Source organism: Homo sapiens, chromosome 2 (genome assembly GCF_000001405.40).
Source record: "Homo sapiens chromosome 2, GRCh38.p14 Primary Assembly".
Classification (NCBI taxonomy): Eukaryota; Metazoa; Chordata; class Mammalia; order Primates; family Hominidae; genus Homo; species Homo sapiens.
Genome location: NC_000002.12, coordinates 25194832 through 25215600, shown reverse-complemented (window position 1 = coordinate 25215600; position 20769 = coordinate 25194832). Strand labels below are relative to the sequence as shown.

The window sequence follows — 20769 nt, the reverse complement described above, 5'->3', positions numbered from 1 at the left end:
GCTGTATATGCTGGTGTTGGTGGTGGTGCTGGGTTGGGATGTATACAGGGTCATCCTGGCCCACAGCCTCCTCCCAGGGCAGACTGAAGCTGCAAGGGCCTATTATTTGTGCATTTTTCTCCATGTAAGTCCTCAGCACTGCATCTCTAGCTTCACTGAGTTAGAGGGGCCTGGAGGAGCCTCCCCTGGGTTTGCAGCCTCAAGGGGCTCTGGTAGGATCCCTCGCTGGAGGTGGAGAAGCGGATATGAGAATAGGAGGGATTGTACACCCTGCCTTGCTGCCGAGGAGGGGCGTTTCCTTCTCTTCTTGGGTAGGCTTGGCAAAGATCAAGGTCATTTTTGGCTGTGCTGGGGAGGAGGGCAGGCGGTGGGTCACCCTTTTTGAGTGCTCAAGGCGTTAATAGGTCTCCAGAAGAAGCAGGCCTCCTGCTCTGAGCCAGATTCCACCGTTCCCCTCCTGAATCAAATCCGTGGCCAGCCTGGGTGGGAAGCAGGGTGGGCTGCTGTCCTTGCGGACCAGGCTGTGAGGCTGCTGTGTCCAGACAGGGGGTTGGCCTCATTTCCTGCAGTTCTGAGGAGCTAGTGACACCTGCGGACCTGGATGAAGTCCATCTGGGCTCCTTGAACCCATTAAGGATGGCTAATGAAGAGAGCCCTGGGCTCACCTGCACTTAACTGGCTCTGTGATTCCCCCTTAATGGGCCAGTCACTTGACCTCTCTGAGTTGTGGTGTATTCACCTGCAGTGGGTGAACATTCTGCCTTAACCAACTTCTCAAAGAGTGGCTGTGGGAAGGCACATAAGGCAGTGCTTATAGAAGGCCCTGGTGCGGCCGGGCGCAGTGTAATCCAAACACTTGGAGGCTGAGGCACGTGGGTCACTTGAGGTCAGGAGTTCGAGACCAGCCTGGCCAACATGGTGAAACCCCGTCTCTGCTAAAAATACAAAAAATTAGTAGAGCATGGTGGCGCACAACTGTAATCCGATTTACTCAGGAGGCTGAGACAGCAGAATCGCTTGAACCTGGGAGGCAGAGGTTGCAGTGAGCCGAGATCGCACCACTGCACTCCAGCCTGGGCAACAGAGTGAGGCTCTGTCTAAAAAAAAAGAAGAAGAAGCCGCTGGTAGCTGAGAGCCTACTCCAGTGGCCAATCTGTCCTCTCTCAGGGACTGGCCTCCCCTAGATTATGAATGCGAGGCCAGAGACTTAGAAATTATTTCTCTTTGTCTCCCTCTGTACATGTTCTTACCTAATTACTCATCACACTTGTCCACTGAATTTAAAAAATTAGAAATTAAAGAAAGGCATAAAGAAGAAAATAAAATACTGAACCACCTGGTGGCTACATGAGTATGTTATCGAAACTCAACTAATATAGGTACAGATTATTGTATGCAAAGTATAGGTCAATAAAATTTTTATTTTAAAAGTTTATTTTAAAAATCCCACCACTACTGACATTTTAGAATATTTACTTCTCAATTTTGTTTTTTTTGGGGGTTTGGAGTCTCCCTCTGTCGCCCAGGCTGGAATGTAGTGGCACGATCTTGGCTCACTGCAACCTCCACCTCCCAGGTTCAAGCAATTCTCCTGCCTCAGCCTCCCGAGTAGCTGGGATTACAGGCGCACGCTACCACACCCGGCTAACTTTTTGTATTTTTAGTAGAGATGGGAGTTTCACCATGTTGGTCAGGCTGGTCTCAAACTCCTGACCTGAGGTGATCTGCCTGCCTTCGCCTCCCAAAGTGCTGGGATTACAGGCGTGAGCCACCGCGCCCGGCCTACTTCTTGATTTCTTATATATAGCATACATTATATTATAGATACATGGGTAAATATATATGTGTATATACATATAAATGTATATGTCTATAAATGTAACATTTATATAGAAGGTAAATGTATATACAATGTAGATGTATATATACATGTAGATGTATATAAACATACATATGTAAGTCTGTGTGTATATATACACATATGCATACACACACAAACACATTTAGAGTTTGTTTTGTAAATAAAAATGGATCAAGATGTGCCATTCTTTGTGAGCTGGGGCTTCTGTAGATGTGGCTGGCTGGCATCTCCACCTTCAGAAGGCCTTATGCACTCCTCACTATGGAGCTGGGCTGGGCCCGCTGGACCCCGAGCCATGCCACGGTGCTTCTTGAACTGGAGTCACTCGGGGTGGGGAGGCAGCCTGCCCCACAAAAGCAGCACCCCCTGGACTTAGCCACGCCTCTCTAGTCAGCCCCTCTGGAAGGGCCTCTCAGGCCCTGGGGATCCTAGGCAGAGGACGCTCTAGGCCTGTGGACAAGCCTGGGAAAGAAGCCAATAAAGGAGCAATTTCGAAGTGAGAACGTCCAGAAACGTGCTGATGGCCTAGGTGGGAGGAAGGCCCAGTTGGAGGAGGAGAGGGAGGGCAGTGGCATGGGTTAGGGTCAGGAGATGTGTCAGGCGGAACACAGAATCCTGTCTGGCTGATAAAATGGGGCTTGGCAGAGCTTGGAATAGATAGGGAGGGTTAAGAGCTGCGAGGCGGAAGATGCTTGAGGTGGGATTGATGAGAGGAAAAGGGTCCCAAGAACTGCCATCTGGATTTCTGTATAGCTGAAGGCCATATGCAAAGGTCTGGCTGCGTAGAATGGGCTATCTACATCCAAAGGGCAGAGAGAGGGGCCCCTCAAATGCTGGATGGAGCAGCAGGAGCTGCCTTCATTTCCAGCATGAAATTGGGCTGCTGTCACCATGACAGAAACTTTCTGATCAGCTCGTCCTCCACCCCTTGAACCCCAGCAGTCGAATCATACTGTGCTTGTCATGGTGACATATTACGGGACCAAGTGCGTAACAGAAAGTAAATGGACTCTGAGAGAGTCCAGAAGGATGCCTGGATTGTTCGCAGAATTGAACAGACCTTAGGAACTGGAACTAATACTTGATTCTCTCTCCTCTCTTCTCGCACTGTCTCTCTCTCCTCTCTTGCTCTTGCTCTCTCGTGCTCTCTTCAAGTCTGTCTTGTTTTTGTTTGGCTCTGCTTGGCCTCCTCTGTAAACAGTCTGACTCCAGGTGGGGGAAACTTGCCCCCTGACATCCCTGAATTCACATGCTCCTAGCTTACAGCCTTGGTGGAATTTTCCCCAGAGCCTTCTATCAACTCCAGAGAAGAATTCTGACTGGTCCTGCTCAGTCTGGCACCATCTCATTATTGGGTAGTCTGATTGCCCAGGCTGGAGGGCTATGGCTGAAGGACCAAGGGCAGCCTGTTTCCAGAAGGAAATGGGATGGAAAGGGGCTGGTCAGCACTAAAACAATAGCAACCAGAGGCCGTTACACATGGTTTTCAGGATAAAGTAAAAAAAATCGGCCGGGCACGGTGGCTCACTCCTATAATCCCAGCATTTTGGGAGGCCGAGGTGGGTGGATCACGAGGTCAAGAGATCGAGACCATCCTGGCCAACATGGTGAAACCCCGTCTCTACTAAAAATACAAAAATTAGCTGGGTGTCGTGGCACGCACCTGTAGTCCCAGCTACTTGGGAGGCTGAGGCAGGAGAATCGCTTGAACCCAGGAGGCAGAGGTTGCAGTGAGCCAAGATCGCGTCACTGCACTCCAGCCTGGCAACAGAGTGAGACTCAGTCTAAAAAAAAAAAAAGTCAAGATAGCAGAGGCCCTCCATCAAAGAGCATGCTGTCTAGTTAGGGAGATGAACTTGGAACAACAGAGGGCAACAGAAAGTGCTACTGGTGGCTGTCCTCAGACCACTTTGAGACCACTCAGCTCTTGAAAAAATTAGAGTACAAACATGGTATCCCTACTCTGTAACCAATTAACTCACATTTTTTAGGCCACAGCAGCTGGAGGAATCAACCCTAGGAAGATGGATCCTAATTATGGCAGGAGTGCAGTGTGGCAAAGCAGAAAATGCAGACAGATTGAGTTTAAATCCTAGCCCTCTACCAGCTGTGATAATCAACTCAACCTTTTTAAAGACTCAGCAAATAAAATTGACACAATTAGTAGCCTCCTTCCTAGGCTGTTGTGAGGATTAAGATATGTATATTAGGTGTTCACTAGAGGATATAAACGAGTACTCAATAAATGAGATGTAGCCAGGTGCGGTGGCTCACACCTGTAATCCCAGCACTTTGGGAGGCCAAGGCAAATGGATCAGTTGAGCTCAGGAGTTTGAGATCAGCCTAGGCTACATAGTGAAACCCTGTCTCTACAAAAAGTACAAAAATTAGCTGAGTGTTGTGGCTCGTGCCTGTGGTCCCAAGCTACTTGGGAGGCTGAGGTGGGAGGATCGCTTGAGCCTGGGAGGTTGAGGCTGCAGCGAGCCAAGATTGCACCACCGCACTCCAGCCTGGGAGACAGAGTGAGACTCTGTCTCAAAAAAATAAACAAGTTGCAACCTTATGGTACAGTATTAAGACTTATTACTAACAATGACTCTTGCTGCTGTGGGCGGAAAGCCACCCAGGTGCCGAAGCAAGAGACTGAAGGCACAAACTGTTCCAGTATAATAAAGAAAATAGAATAAGAAAAGTTATACTAGAAATAGGATATAGAGATGATTATATATGGATATTATCAATCATTAGTTTTAGTATTAATCTGTGCTTTACTATTATAACCGAGGAATAACCAGCCAGTACAGTCAGGAGCTGAAGGAACATTGTGAGAAGTGACCAGAAGATAAGAGTGTGAGCCCTCTGTCAGGCCGGACATGGTGGCTCACGCCTGTAATCCCAGCACTTTGGGAGGCCAAGGCAGGCGGATCACGAGGTTAGGAGATCGAGACCATCCTGGCTAACACGGGGAAACCCCATCTCTACTAAAAATACAAAAAATTAGCTGGGTATGGTGGCGGGCGCCTGTAGTCCCAGCTACTCGAGAGGCTGAGGCAGGAGAATGGCATGAACCCGGGAGGCAGAGCTTGCAGTGAGCCGAGATCGCACCACTGCACTCCAGCCTGGACGACAGAGTGACTTCGTCTCAAAAAAAAAAAAAAAAAAAAAAGAGCGTGAGCCCTCTGTCACGCCCGGATAAAGGCCGCTTGTGGGCTTGTGTTCCTGGGAAGGCACCTGTTACTTAGCGGACCATGAAAGGGGGTTTCCCTTTCCTTGGAAGAGTTAGAGAACACCTGCTCCACCAGCCTCTTGTGGGAGGTTGGACATCAGCCAGTCTACCCACAGACATCCGGAGGCTTAAACGTCTCCCTGTGGTGCTGTGCTTCGGTGGTCACACTCGTTCACTTTCATGTTCTGCCTATATACCTGGTTCCCCTCTTAAGTCCTTAGAAGATAGCAGTAGCAGAAATAGTGAAAGTATTAAAGTCTTTGATCTCTGATAAGCACATAGAAAAAAGGCTGATGCATGATGTCCTCCCTCTGCTTCAGCTACCACAAAGGGAAGGGGCCCCCTGTCCGGTGGACACGTGACTTGCTTGACCTTATCAATCACTTGACATGACTCACTCTCCTTATCCTGCCCCCTTGCCTTGTATACAATAAATAGCAGTGCATCCAGACATACGGGGCCACTACCGGACTCTGCACATTGGTGGTAGTGGCCCCCTGGGCCCAGCTGTCTGTCATACTCTCTCTTAGTCTTGTGTCTTATTTTTCTACAATCTCTCGTCTCCGCACATGAAGAGAAAACCAACAAGGCGCCATAGGGCTGGACCATACATGCTGCCACAGTGAAATTGTTGGAATCCCAGCCCCAGCTCCTTCCCTCTTTTCTGAGTGATCCTTGCTTCCCAGATGTCACCCCAAGATGCCTTTCCTGGGCAAAAGTAAGGAATCCCAGCCCTAAAAGGCAGATGGGCAGGATACTTTGAGGACCTACTTTGGGCTGGATGCCTGGCAGCTGGTTTGGCTGCAAGGCCCAGAAGCCCACTAAAGCTGCTGAAGTCAAGGGGGACTTAGAATAACCATGACAGCATTTCATGGAATTCAGTTGTAGGAGGCAGGATGGGCATCAGCGTAAGCAGGGTTTCCCAGGTGGCTGCTCTCTCTGTCTATCCTTCCATCAGGGACTGTGTATGCCCTGCCTCTGCCCTTCTGTTGATCGGGTTCCTTCCCTTGCCCTCGGTCACTGATTTCCAGCTGGCACCCTCATGGCTGACCCCAAAGGTCTCATGTCCCAGCCTTCATAACCTTCCAGTCCTTATACTGGCACCAACTGACTCTGTCTCTGACTTCACACCAAGTTTCTGGGACAGAGACTGTGGTTGCCTGGCTTGGATCAGGGTCACATGGGTTCAATGAGCCGTGACAAGTGATGGTAGAAGTGCACTGTGGCACTGCAGCCTCGACCTCCCAGGCTCAAGTGATCCTCCCACCTCAGCCTCCCAAGCAGCTGGGACCACAGGCACAGGCCACCACGCCTGGCTAATGTTTGTATTTTTTTGTAAAGACGGGGTTTCACCATGTTGCCCAGGCTGGTCTTGAACTCCTGACCATCTACTGACAAGGGATGGCTTCTTTCTTTGACAAGGGAACACTTCTAGCGGTGAACACTTCAGAGCTGGCATCCCAGGCTCTCTCCTCAGCTGCCTGTTCAAATCTGTGCTGGGTTGGTGGGCTGCCTTGTGTTCTAGCTTGGCTGATAATATCTGGAGAAGAAGAAGAAGAAGAAGACGTGTGAACACTTTGAAATCGAAATGTTGGTGTTAGTTTCCTAGGGCTGCTATAACAAAGTACCAGAAACCAGGTGGCTTAAAACACAGAAACTTATTGTCCCACAGTTCCGGAGGCTTAGAAGTACAAAATCAAGGTCACAGCCACTTTCCCTCTGTGTCTGCGTCCTCGTATGGCGTTCTCCTTTTTATGGGTATCCACATTTCCCTCTGTTATTTTTATTTATTTATTTATTTATTTATTTATTTATTTATTTATTTATTTTGAGACAGAGTCTTGCTCTGTCGCCCAGGCTGGAGTGCAGTGGCGCGATCTCGGCTCACTGCAAGCTCCACCTCCTGGGTTCACTCCATTCTCCTGCCTCAGCCTCCCGAGTAGCTGGGACTACAGGCGCCTGCCACCAAGCCCGGCTAATTTTTTGTATTTTTTTTTAGTGGAGACGGGGTTTCACCATGTTAGCCAGGATGGTCTCGATCTCCTGACCTCGTGATCCACCCGCCTCGGCCTCCCAAAGTGCTGGGATTACAGGCGTGAGCCACCGAGCCCCAGACTATTTATTTATTTTTTTGGAGACAAGTTCCCGCTCTGTTGCTCAGGCTGATGTGCAGTGGTGCAATCACGGCTCACTGCAGCCTCCATCTCCCAGGCTCCTCCCCCATCAGACTCCCAATAGCTGAGACTACAGAAGTGAGCCACTATGCTCGGCCCATCTCCCTCTTATATAGACACCAGTTCTATTGGATTACGGCCCACCCCAGTGACCTCATCTTAACCTGATTACATCTGCAAAGACCCTATTTCCAAATAAGGTCACATTCACAGCTACAGGACTTCAATCTATATCTTAGGGATTTACAGTTGAGCCCGGTTATAAGTGTCCACACTGGGTATGGTGGTGTGTATGTATAGTCCAGCTATGTAGGAGGCCAAGGCTGGAGGATCGCTTGAATCCAGGAGTTTGAGACCAGCCTGGGCAACATAGTGAGACCCCCATCTCAAAAAGAAGAAAAAGACTAAAATGTCCGTAAATAAAATGTAGTGGGAATACAGCCATGCTCATTCTATGGATCGTTGTGACAGAGACTATACACAAAGCTTAATATATTTACTATCTAGGCCTTTACAGAAAAAGTGTACCATTCCCTGCCTTAAAGGATGGGGTGGGAGTTCACAGGACAGAGAAGGCCAAGGGCGTCTTAGGCTGAGAGGACAGCAAAGCCAACCACAGCAAAGGTCAGCAGTACAGCTGGTGGACGGTGGTCCTGGAGCTCTGGAAAACAAGGCATCTCAAGAGTTCGAGTTAAAATAGAAAGCATCTTGAGTTGAACACCTTCAGGATCATGGCTTCAGCTTTTCTCCCTGGTGGAGAGGACAGTGTGGGAACTGGAACCCTTTCACACAAGCAGCCCAGGACGTATCTGGAAGGAGAAGAGGCCTGGGAGGAGCCCAGGATGTCTGTGGAGTGACCTCAGCTGGTCCACTGGAGGGAAACCCAAGTCAGGCTGACTGTTTTTCTCTGGGAGAGCCAAGGGAACCCCAGGGGCACTGCGTTATTTGCTCCTTTCCTGTCTGATTGCATTTTCCTCTGGCTGCCCCAGGGAACCTGTTTCTGAGCCTGATGGTCCACTTCCAAAGACCAGGCCTCTTGCAGCGGGAAATGTTTGGGAAGCCCCTTGTGACGTCTCCTCCCTGCCTGGTGGAGAGACTTCCCTTTTTGGTAGTAGCTGGTCTGTGAGTGGTGAGACCACAAAAGATCAAGGGACCCCCCGGAGGGTTCACTTTTTCAGTGTGTTTGTCAGCTGACTGTGCTCAGGGAGGGCCTGGAGGATGTTACCTGAGTTTGGCAAAAAGGACCTCATAGTAACCTTGCTAGGTAGATACGGCAGGGGAAATTATCCCCGCTTGACTGTTGAGAAACTGCAGTTCAAAGAATGTTCGTTGATTTGCTCAAGACGGTATGGCTAGTCCTGGCAAGGCTAGGCGGCATCTCTGCCTTCTGCCATCCTGGCCCACCATTCTCTCCTTTCTTTCACCTGCCTTTTCTAGCTCAACTTATCCCCTCTTTTTATTTATTATTTTTTGAGACGGAGTCCCGCTCTGTTGCCCACGCTGGAGTGCAATGGCGCGATCTTGGCTCACTGCAACCTCTGCCTCCCAGGTTCAAGCGATTATCCTGCTTCCGCCTCCTGAGTAGCTGGAATTACAGGCACGCGCCACCATGTCCAGAGAATTTTTGTATATTTTTAGTAGAGATGGGGTTTCACCATGTTGGTCAGGCTGGTCTCAAATTCCTGTCTCGGCCTCCCAGAGTGTTGGGATTATAGGCCTGAGCCACCGCACCTGGCCTTCCCCTCTTTTAATTGATAAGATGACATAGCAGCATTAAAGATAAATATTTAAACTAAAATCTCTCGGCTGGGCACAGTGGCTCACGCCTGTAATCCCAGCACTTTAGGAGGCCGAGGCAGGTGGATCACGAGGTCAGGAGATCGAGACCATCCTGGCTAACACGGTGCAACCCTATTGCTACTAAAAAAAATTAAAAAAAATAGCCGGGCGTGGTGGCGGGTGCCTGTAGTCCCAGCTACTTGGGAGGCTGAGGCAGGAGAATGGCGTGAACCCGGGAGGCGGAGCTTGCAGTAAGCCGAGATTGTGCCACTGCACTCCAGCCTGGGCGACAGAGCGAGACTGTGTCTCAAAAAAAAAAAAAAAAGAAAGAAAAGAAAAGAAAATCTTTCAAATACCACCATTTATATAACACATTTCTACATATGCACACGTGTGCTTTAAAAAACAGCTCTAGGCCGGGAGTGGTGGCTCACGCCTGTAATCCCAATACTTTGGGAGGCCGAGGTGGGTAGATCACCTGAGGTCAGGAGTTTGAGACCAGCCTGGCCAACATGGTGAAACCCTGTCTCTACTAAAAATACAAAATTAGCCAGGTGTGGTGGCACACGCCTATAATCCCAGCTACTTAGGAGGCTGAGGCAGGAGAATTGCTTGAACCCGGGAGGTGGGGGTTGCAGTGAGCCGAGAGCGCACCATTGCACTCCAGCCTGGGCAACAAGAGTGAAACTCTGTCTCAAAAGAAAAAAAGAAAAAGAAAAAAAAACCCAGCTCTAGTAAAATTGTAATTTACAATTGTGATAACACTGTATAGAACAAAACACACAAGTATAAGTAACATTTGGGAAATCTGCATTAGATCAGCAGGTTACATCCCTGTCAATATGCTGGTTGTGATATTGTACTATAGTTCTGCAAGATGTTACCATTGGGGAAAACTGGGTAGAGGTGGGATCTCTGTATCATTTCTTTTTTTTTTTTTTTTTCTTGAGACGGAGTCTCACTCTGTCACCAGGCTGGAGTGCCGCGGCCCGATCTTGGCTCACTGTAACTTCTGCCTCCCGGGTTCAAGCGATTCTCCTGCCTCAGCCTCTCGAGTAGCTGGGACTACAGGCACATGCCACATGCCCGGCTAATTGTTGTATTTTTAGTAAAGACGGAGTTTCACCATGTTGGCCAGGATGGTCTCAATCTCTTGACCTCATGATCTGCCCGCCTCGGCCTCTCAAAGTGTTGGGATTACAGGCGTGAGCCACCGCGCCCGGCCTATATTTTCTTATAACTGCATGTGAATCTGCAAGTATCTATATAACATTTTCGATTAAAAGAAAAAGCAATTCTGAAGGAGTTGAGATCCATGAGAATTTACCATTTCATGTTAAACCATTTTTCATTAAGATTACATTATAAACATTTCCCCGTGTTTCTACAGACCTTGCAATAATCACTTACTGGCTACACGGCATTCCATCTAGTGGGTGTAAAACCGTTCCCTTAACCATTCTCCCTTGCTAGGTGGCGAGGTTGTTTTCAATTTTTAGCTCACACTAATAATGCCATAATGAACATGATTATGCCTAGGGCACGGTTATTCCTTTGAATTATTTCATTAGGATACATTCCCAGGGAGTGGGGTGCCTGGGCATAAGGTTCTGGACCTTTATGACTGTATTAGGTATTATTAATTTAATATTATATCCTTATTATTGCCCTTTCTAAGGTACAGATCGGCTTTTCCCCAAGTGAGCAAAAGTTCTCTGGCGCGCCTTTCAGCATTCAGATTTGTGGGGGAAAACCTAGGGGCCCCCCACTTGTTTCCGCCTGCACAGTGTCAGGCCAGAGATTTGAGTGGCAGAATGACAGAGGCAGCAGAGTGCAGCTAGAGGAGCTGTCACGGGCGTCACCCTCCCACGGGGCCCGGGCGGGCGTCCGGGGACCTCCTGGGACTCGGTGGCGCCGGCTACCTTCTCCCCAGAGCAGCAGAGGCCGTGAGGGGCCCTGCGGGGCCATGAGGGCGCGCGGCTTTCTTGAAAACAGAGCAGCCTCTGCTCACCCTGCAGGCGCTCTGGAGCTGCAGGAGGCCATTTCTAGAAGGCACCGGATTCGGCCTAATGCGGTGGCGAGGCCGCTGCGTCCCTCGGAGCCCGGTGGGGAGGCCCTGGGTGCCGCGCCCCAAGGCTCGCGGGCGATTGCCGCCCGTGAGGCGCCGCCGGGGAAGTCCGGAGCCCTGGCGTCCCCAAAGCCGTCCGCGGCTCTGCGTCCCAGTCCCGGGCGAGCGCCGCGCAGAGGCCCGAGGACCCCACGCCTGGGTGGGGAAGGCGCGGCCTCGCCATCTTGCTGGGCCACGGGCGCTCGGCGCAGGCGTGCGCGCTTGTGCAGTGTTCACCTCTTTTGGGATTTTATTCTCGTTTCATTTAATTTAACTCATTTAAAAAATTTTTTTTATTTTACTTTTTCTTTCATTTTAGTTTTGTTTTAAATTTTATTAATTTCATTAAATTTAAATTTTGTTAATTTAATTTTAATTTTAGGTGGTTTTTTTTTTCAGTTTGGATTGCCAGGTTAAATGTAGGAGGTCCAGTTAAATTCAAATTTCAGATAAGCAACAGATACATTTTTAGTATACATCTATCCTGTTTAGGATGTCCTATTTAGTATCAGAATGTCTCCAACGTTTTGTCCTGGTTTTTTGTTTGTTTGTTTGTTTGTTTTTTGCGACAAGGACTTGCTTTGTTGCCCAGGCTGGGGTGCAGTGGCACAATCATAGTTCACTGCAGCCTCCAACTCCTGGACTCAAGAGATCTTCCTGCCTCAGCCTCCAGAATAGATGTACACCACTACACTCAGCTAATGTTTGTATTTTTTGTAGAGCTGGGGGGCGTCTCGCTATTTTGCCCAAGCTGGTCTCGAACTCCTGGGCTCAAGTGATTCTCCTGCCTTGGTCTCCCAAAGTGCTGGGATTCCAGGCATGAGCCACCACTCCTGGCCTGGCCTGTATTTTTATTTGCTAAATCTGGCAACTCAATTTGTGGTAGAACCCCTTCTTTGGAGGACATCTGACTCAGAACCCTAATACCTACCCAATGACAGCGAGTGGTCTGTGTGAACTGGGGCCAGGACTAGGGGGTGCAGGAATGTGAGTGTCACCCAGTGTCTCCCAGACTGGCCTGAGGAACCCCCTGAGCAGAACCGAACCACTGAACCTCTCTTACAGGGGCTGAACTCCCCGAGGGCAAGACAGCAACAGCCGCACCAGGTAGACTCTGTACATTGGATTATTCCAGCCATGGCTGGCTCCTGTCCTCTCAAAAGTCCCTCACGGGCCGGGCACAGTGGCTCACGCCTGTACTTCCAGCACTTTGAGAGGCCTCACTTGAGGCCAGGAGTTCAAGACCAGCCTGCCCAACATGGCAAAACCCTGGCTAATACAAAAAATTAGCCAGGCATGGTGGCACACACCTGTAATCCCACCTACTTGGAGAGGCTGAGGCACAAGAATAGCTTGAACCTGGGAGGTGGAGGTTGCAGTGAACCAAGATCGTGCCACTGCACTCCAGCCTGGGCAACAGAGCGAGACTCTGTCTCAAAAAAAAAAAAAAAAAAAAAAAAATCCCTCAGGCCCATATCCTGTGAGCAACAAGCTCTGAAGGAGGGGCCCAGGTCTGCCACTATGGGATGTGGGCAAGTCACTGGCCTCAGTTTCTCCATCTGTGAAATGGGGCTGTTGTTTGGGCTGCTGGAGATAATCTATGTGAAAGTGCCTGGTGAACCTGGACACCCAGAGACTCTAAAGCATGCTTTTTACTGAGGCATAATTCACAAACAGTGACATTCCCCAATTTTAAGTATTGAACTCAGTGCATTTTGACTGATGTTTACAGTTGTGTGACCACCACAATTGCATATATATACATATACAAACATATATGTTGAAGAGTTGAAGGCCATAGCCCTTCTTTGAGGAATTCCGGGTCTGGTGGAGAAGCAGACCACGTGTACTTGACCACCACACACCTGTGTGAGCAGCAGCTCAGGAAGGAACACGGGGGCCAGCGAGGTATGCGGCCACTCTTCCGGCTGTAACGCCCTAGATAGAGCATTTAGTCTGGCCGCCTCTAACGCAGCCACATCAAGCCTTCAGTCCCACCCTTGCTGGGTCTGGAATACCCGGGCAAAGCCACATCCTCTTTCCTCTTTTATCTGGCAGAGGCTCATTCCTCTCCATGTTTCAAGGCCCAACTCAGATGCTACCTCCTCTGAGAAGCCACACCGATTTTCCTGGTGATTCTGGGACAGATTTGTGGCTCCTGCTCATTGGGCTTGGGACCTGCAGGTGGTGAGGGCTAGAGGGAGGCAGAATCTTAAAAAGGGGGTCCCCAGTGGGAAGGGCCGTGGGGTGGGCTAGGGGAGCATCATGTCCTGTAACAGGAGATGTGAATGGCAGGGCGGGATGTGGAGGTTCAGGGCGGGATGTGGAGGTTCAGGGCCAGCCCAGGAGGCTGGGGGCCAGGTCTCAGGGTACAGGCAGGGGTCCGAGCAGCCTTCCTTCTGGGCCTGTCTGCCCAGCCAGGAGAATCTGTTGGTGCTCCCCACTGGAGAGGGACCAGGGCAGGGGGAGAGTGAAGGTGTGCACAGCGGGTGGTGAGCCTGACGGGAAGGGGCCCCGCCCACAGATCTTCCCAATGTCACATGAACCAAGGAGTTATAGTTAGAAGGCACCCATTCAAGTCCTTATTCAGCAAGTGCCACGCAGGCTCCTGACTGTGCTAGCCCTGTGCCCAGGAGGGTGGGTAGTGGTGGTTGGTGGGCAGAGGCCCAAACCCCTCTGTCATCTCTGAGGCTTCCCCAGACTCTGGCTCTGTGCCTTGCCCTGCGTTAGCCCCATGGGAGCCTTGATTCTGAGACTGAGGTCTTATGGGATGTCATTTGTCATGGGGCAGAAAGGTGGGATGGGAGAGTGGCAGTGGGAACAGAGAATAGTTCTGTTCTCGCTATCCCTCCTGTCAGTTTTGCTTTTTAAGTAAATCTGGAATCCATTTGTTTCTTTTCAGCTAAGAGTGCCACTGTTCCAGCCACATCATTTCGTACCTGGATGGCCACAGATCTCTCCACAACTCACTTAGGCCCCTGTGGTCAGTTCAGGCCACTGCAGTCTGTATGATCTGAAAGCAGTAGCAGCAGCAGTGGCGGCGACTTTTGATACTATTACAAAAAGTAGGTGGGGTGTGGTGGCTCAGGTCTGTAATCCCAGCACTTTGGGAGGCCAAGGAAGGAGGATCCCTTGAGCCCAGGAGCCTGAGACCAGCCTGGGCAACATCGCGAGACCTTATCTCTACTGAAAAAACAAACAAACAAAAACAATTAGCCAGGTGTGGTGGCAAGGGCCTGTAGTCCCAGCTACCCAGGAGGCTGAGGTGGGAGGATTGCTTGAGCCTGGGAGATACAGGCTGCAGTGAGCTATAATTGCACCACGGTACTCCAGCCCGGGCAACAGAGTAAGACCCTGTCTCAAAAAGCAAGCAAACAAACAATGATTAAAAAAAATATAAAATAAAAAACCTCAAAAGCAATACCTTCTTTTTTTGAGACAGTCTCACTCTGCCACCCAGGCTGGAGTGCAGTGGTGCAATCTCGTCTCACTGCAACCTCCGACTCCCAGGTTCAAGCGATTCTCCTGCCTCAGCTTCCCGAGTGGCTGGTATTACAGGTGCGCATCACCACACCTGGCTAATTTTTGTATTTTTAGTAGAGACGGGGTTTTGCCATGTTGGCCAGGTTGGTCTTGAACTCCTAACCTCAGGTGATCCACCCGCCTCAGCCTCCCAAAGTTCTGGGAATACAGGTGTGAGCCACGCACCTGGCCTCAAAAGCAGTACCTTCTTATGGCAATAACTCAAATACTAAAGGAGGATTTTAGGTGAAAGTCAAAGACAGACTCCCCTTTGCCCTCATCCCCAACCTCCAGGCCTGCTTCTCAGAGCAACTTGTTTCTTCTGTAACTCTTCCAATTTTTTTCAAAGTATATAAATGATTTTCTACGTGTGTGTATATGTAATTGCATGTGTATCGTTATATAGGTGTGTATGTATGTAACCTTAAAAATCAAATGATGAGACTTTGGCACCATGTATTTTTCCCTTGAAAGTACCCGCTGGGGCTCTGTTCGTGTTAACACGCCTGAGGACTGCCGTCCTTGTTTCCCAGTGTTTTGCTCTTACAGATAATGCTGCAGTGAAATCAATCCTTAGATGTGGAATTGCTGGCTTCTGGATATGCGCGCTTAAAATGTTGATAGCTAGTGCAAATTGCCTTTCACGATGGCTCTGCTGATTTCCATTTCCATAAATAATCCAATCTTTCTCCTCACTCTTAAAAATGCTTCCCCATCTGATAGGTGAAAAATGGTATCTTACCTTCATTTGTCTTTTAAAAATTATGAGGCCAGGCGCAGTGGCTCATGCCTATAATCCCAGCACTTTGGGAGGCCGAGGCAGGTGAATCACTTGAGGTCAGGAGTTCGAGACCAGCCTGGCCAACATGATGAAACACTGTCTCTACTAAAAATACAAAAAAAAATTAGCCAGGCATGGTGGTGGGCGCCTGTAATCCCAGCTACTCAGGAGGCTGAGGCAGGAGATTCACTTGAACCCAGGTGGCGGAGGTTGCAGTGAGCCGAGATTGCACCACTGCACTCCAGCCTGGGTGACAGAGTGAAACTCCAAAACAAACAAACAAACAAAATTATGAGTGAGTGAAGTGGAGCATTTGACATATCTCTTACACGCATGAATCTTTTTCTGCTGTGTGTTCTCTTGCTTCTTCTTTCTACTGGGTTCTTTATCTGTGGTTTATTGATTTCTTTTCTTTTCTTTTCTTTTTTCTTTTCTTTTCTTAGATGGAGTCTTGCTCTGTCACCCAGGCTGGAGTGCAGTGGCACGATGATCTCGGTTCACTGCAACCTCCACCTCCTGAGTTCAAGTAATTCTCCTGCCTCAGCCTTCTGAGTAGCTGGGGTTACAGGTGCCCGCCACCATGGCTGGCTAATTTTTGTGTTCTTAGTAGAGACGGAGTTTTGCCATAGTGGCCAGGCTGGTTTCCAACTCCTGACCTCAAGTGATCCTCCTGCCTTGGCCTCCCTAAGTTCTGGGATTACAGGTGTGAGCCACCGCGCCTGGCCAGTTTATTGATTTCTTCTTCTTCTTTTTTTTTTAGATGGAGTTCCCCTCTTGTTGCCCAGGCTGGAGTGCAATGGTGGGATCTCAGCTCACTGCAACCTCTGCCTCCCGGGTTCAAGCGATTTTCCTGCCTCAGCCTCCGAAGTAGCTGGGATTACAGGCATGAGCCACGGTGCCCGGCCTGGTTTATTGATTTCTAAGCATTCTTTGTAGTTGAGGAAACTGGCACATGGACTCTCATATTGTTGCAAATGTTTCCCCCAACTAATCTTTAAGTATTTTTGTCATAAGGAGTTTTATATTTTTTAGACTCAAATTAAGAATAGAGTCATGTTTTGTTCTCATGTGCTGATGATTCCACTTGTACATTTACGTTTTTGGTCTACCTGCAATTTATTTTGATATCAAGGAGAAAGGTGTGGCTCCACATGTAATTGTTTTCTAGGTGGCCAGCCATTTCCCCAGTACTATTTACTGAATAATCCATTTTCCCGACTGGTGTCGTTTTGCCTTTATCATATTCTAAATTTCCACATATACTTGGGTCTCTTTTAGTGTCTCTGTTGTGTTCTGTTGATCTTACTGCCTGTTCTTGTACGTGTGCCAAATTGCTTTATTTCTTCCAGGTTTCTAATGTATTTTTACTATGTGGTAGGGTTACTTTTTAGAGATTTACTGGCTATCTGCACTTAATATATTTTCCAGATGAATTTTCGTGTTATTTTATGGGTCTAGTGGGAAGGCAGCATGAAACACATCATTATAAAAGTCATTTAATCATATTGTCATAAGTGCTGCAGAGGGAAAGTCCTGGGAATTGGGAAAGGAGACAGCACGGGCCCTAAGATTTGGGTTTTATGTATCTGGCAAATATATAGGTAAATTTAAAGAGGCTTAACATTTCCACAATACTGACTTTTGTTTAAAACAAAATCTGTCTTTCCATTTATTCAAGTCTTGTTTTATGTCCCTCAGTAAAGTTTACAACTTTTCTTTAGAAATGTTTTACATACTCCTTGATAAATCAATTTCTAAACAGTTTGTTCTTTGTGTTGCTCTTATGAATGGACTCTTTTCTTCCAGTTAGTGTATTTTCTAACTGGTAGTGTCGTTACAGGGGACTTTTCTAAAAGGCCAGTCGCGCTCAAAAGTGCTCTGCCCCTTCAGTGGCTTCCTGTTCCTGCAAGGATCTCCCACACTTCCCAACCGGCTGACAAAGTCCTGTGAGGTCTGGCCCGCTCCCCTTCTCCCCTTCCTCCTCTGTTCTGTGTGCTCCAGGTGCTCACACAGCGCTCTCTCACTGCCGGGCCAGATGGCTCCTCTGAACCCCTGAGTTCTTAGCATAAAGAAGACTTCCTCAGGGAAGTGGATCCGGGATTGAGCCGGGGCTCCTGTACAACAATGTGATGACAATCATTCCTGTGGTCACGTTTTCCATGCTGCCTCTCCACAGCCTGTACTCCAAGAGGGCACAGGACTCTGCCTGTCTCCTTCCTTCTTTCTCTTCCTCTCCTTCCTTCTCTTCTTCTTCTTTCCTCTTTCTTCCTTCTTCTTTCTTTTTTTTTTTTCTTTGACAGGGTCTCGCTTTGTAGCCCAGGCTGCAGGGCATTGGCGCAATCATGGTTCCCTGCAGCCTTGACCTCCTGGGCTCAAGCGATCTCCTGCCCCAGCCTCCCGAGTAGCTGGTAGCAGTCATGCACCAACATGCCTGACTAATTTTTTAAAACATTTTTGTAGAGATGGGAGTCTCACTATGTTGCCCAGGCTAGTCTCGAGTAATCCTCCTGCCTCGGCACTCCCAAAGGGCTGGGGATTACAGACATGCCCCACTGCACCTGGCCTGCCTGTCTTCCTCACTGTCTCCCCAGCTGTTGAGTAAATTCACAGTATTGGGAATGGAAGTTGCATGCCCTGTTTTCTGGCCTGGGGGCTTCCTGGCATCCTGGACTTGGGGACAGTGAAAACTCATCTGGCTGGCAGACCTCTCAGCCAGCTTCCCTCACTCCTGCCAATAAAGAGACTGAAAGCTGAAAGCTTCATTGTTTTGTTTTGTTTTGTTTTGTTTTTTTGAGATGGAGTCTTGCTCTGTTGCCCAGGCTGGAGTGCAGTGGCAAATTTTTGTATTTTTAGTAGAGATGAGGTTTCACCAGATTGGTCAGGCTGGTCTCGAACTCCTGACCTCAGGTGATCCACCCGCCTCGGCCTCCCAAAGTGCTGGGGTTACAAGCAAGCTGAAAACTTCTTCTTCTTCTTTTTTTTTTTTTTTTTTTTTGAGATGGAGTTTCGCTCTTGTTGCCCAGACTGGACTGCAATGGCACGATCTCGGCTCACTGCAACCTCTGCCTCCCAGGTTCAAGTGATTCTCCTGCCTCAGCCTCCCAGGTAGCTGGGATTACAGGTGCGTGCCACCACATCCGGCTAATTTTTGTAATTTTAGAAGAGACGGGGTTTCGCCATGTTGGCCAGGCTGGTCTCAAACTCCAGACCTCAGGTGATCCGCCTGCCTCGGCCTCCCAAAGTGCTGGGATTACAGGCGTGAGCCACCACGCCCCGCAAACCAGTGATTTTTAATTGTTTTGTTCACGGCCATTGCCTGAGACAGTAGGCGCTTGGTAAACACTTCATTGGATCAGTGAACTAGGTTTAAAATAGGCATAAGAGTGAAAGCTCCCGTGGCAGCAAGGGTATCAAGGTAACGGGATTACTTTGTATTCCTGTATTATATGTCTCCCAGGATGTCTTTAAGGGAATTAAGGAACTTGTAAAATGAAAAAAAATTCCGTTTCCCGTGATGGTACTGCACCGGGTGGCCACCAGAGGGCAGGGCTGCCCTACTGTCAGGGATTGTAACCACCAGACCGAGTCTTCTAAAGTCTTAAATAATGCAGGGCTTTAGGTACAGGTCACAGAGCCTCCCACCTGGGGACCTTCACGGTGACAAGACTCAATCCCCATTTCTCCCTCACCGAATCTCGGCTTCCTAGACTGAGGCAGAAGCATCTCTCTCTTGCTCTTGTGTGAAGAATACAGTCTGTCTCACTGGGCCCACACCTTCGTTCTTGAGTAGTGAGCCCTTCTGAGCGCTCTTTCTGGGATCAGCAGTGAATAGAAGGCAGTTCCTACCCTCTTGGAGCGTGTCCCAGGCTTGCTAACCCTTAGATTCACACAGGAAAGCTCAGGTTTGGAGAGATGCCAAACCCTGCAAAAAAGCCAAGAGCTTAACTTAGGAACCTAGATTTATTCATTGCTGTATCCACTCAGCAGGCACCTGGTACTGACTCCTATGGCTGGGGCTTGTGTGAGGGTTCATTCATTCTCCCCAAAGATGTCTGGAATGCTTGTTCTCTACGGATGCTGCTCCAGGACTAGCGGAGGCAACAGTTTCTATTCTCAGGAAGCTCACAGTGTGGTAGTGGTGGGGAATAGGCCATAAACACATAAATATATAACGTAAAGCTGGTGATAAATGCTATGAAGAAAACCAAGCAGGATAGGCACATTGAGAGTGATGAGCTGGGGTGCTATTTTGTATAAGGAGGTCTGGGAAATCTCTGATGAGGTTTCTTCTGAACAGAGACCTTAATGAGGCGAGGGAGCAAGGGGTCAGGCTGTGCAAAGGCCCAGAGGCAGGAGGGTGGGAGGGAGTGTGTGTGTGTGTGTGTGTGTGTGTGTGTGTGTGTGTGTGTGTGTGTGCATGGTGGAATGCAGACCCTGTTGAGGTGCAAGATCCTGCAGATCCTTGTAGGCCATCGTAGACTTTGCCTTTTGCTTGGGGTGATTTGCTGTGTTTTTTTTGTGTGTGTGTTTTTGACACAGAGTCTCACTCTGTTGCCCAGGCTGGAGTGCGGTGGCATGATCTCGGCTCACCGTAACCTCTGCCTGCCAGAATCAAGTGATTCTCGTGCCTCAGCCTCCTGAGTAGCTGGGACTACAGGTGCCCACCAGCACACATGACTAATTTTTGTATTTTTAGTAGAGACGGGGTTTCGCCATGTTGGCCAGGCTGTTCTCGAACTTCTGGCCTGAAGTGATCTGCCCACCTTGACCTCCCAAAGTGCTGGGATTACAGGCGTGAGCCACCATGCCTGGCTGTGGCTTGCTGTGTTGAGAATAAACTGCAGTGGTGCAAGGTAGTGGCTGGGAAACTGGCTAGGAAGCTGTTCTAATCAGCAAGAGGTGATGGTGATGGTGGTGGCTTTCACCTGGGACACTCCGTAAATGCTTGCTAAATTGAACTGAGCTGTTTTGGTCAATGCTTGCTTAAAATCATGACCTCTTGGCCCCTTGCAGAGAATGGAGAAACCACCATAGGAACAAAACTTCAAAAAAGAAACTGTCCTGATTTTGGTAGTTGGTGTTAAAAGGAAGTTTCACTCCTATTTTCAAGCAGGAACCATGGAGTTCTAAAGTGGAAAGGATCCTGGCCAGAAATGCTGTACGGACCTTCAGTTTGACAGACGAACTGTCTGAAGGTTGGCGAGGTGACTCACCTGGGGTCACACAGCAGCATCGTGGCCACCTGGGATTCTGGAATGAAGACTCTTTCCCTGCAATTGTGTTTCTCTTGCTGCTTTGTTAATTCAGCAAACATTTCCC

The 20769-nt window shown here is 48.9% G+C and overlaps 1 long non-coding RNA gene across 1 annotated transcript, besides 1 other annotated feature; it reads right to left on the bottom strand.

The window, feature by feature from the left end:
• Positions 1 to 6398: 6398 nt before the first annotated feature.
• Positions 6399 to 11288, bottom strand: LINC01381 (long intergenic non-protein coding RNA 1381). The gene is made up of 2 exons (NR_132378.1): positions 11052 to 11288; positions 6399 to 6627 (listed from the first exon to the last, which is right to left on the bottom strand). It is a non-coding gene; the product is annotated as a long intergenic non-protein coding RNA 1381 (long non-coding RNA).
• Positions 10951 to 11290: a silencer, noted in NCBI's record as "silent region_11246". NCBI's record gives its function as "represses an Ori minimal core promoter by ATAC-STARR-seq in GM12878 lymphoblastoid cells {active_cell/tissue: GM12878}" and the evidence as "EXISTENCE:reporter gene assay evidence [ECO:0000049][PMID:35858748]".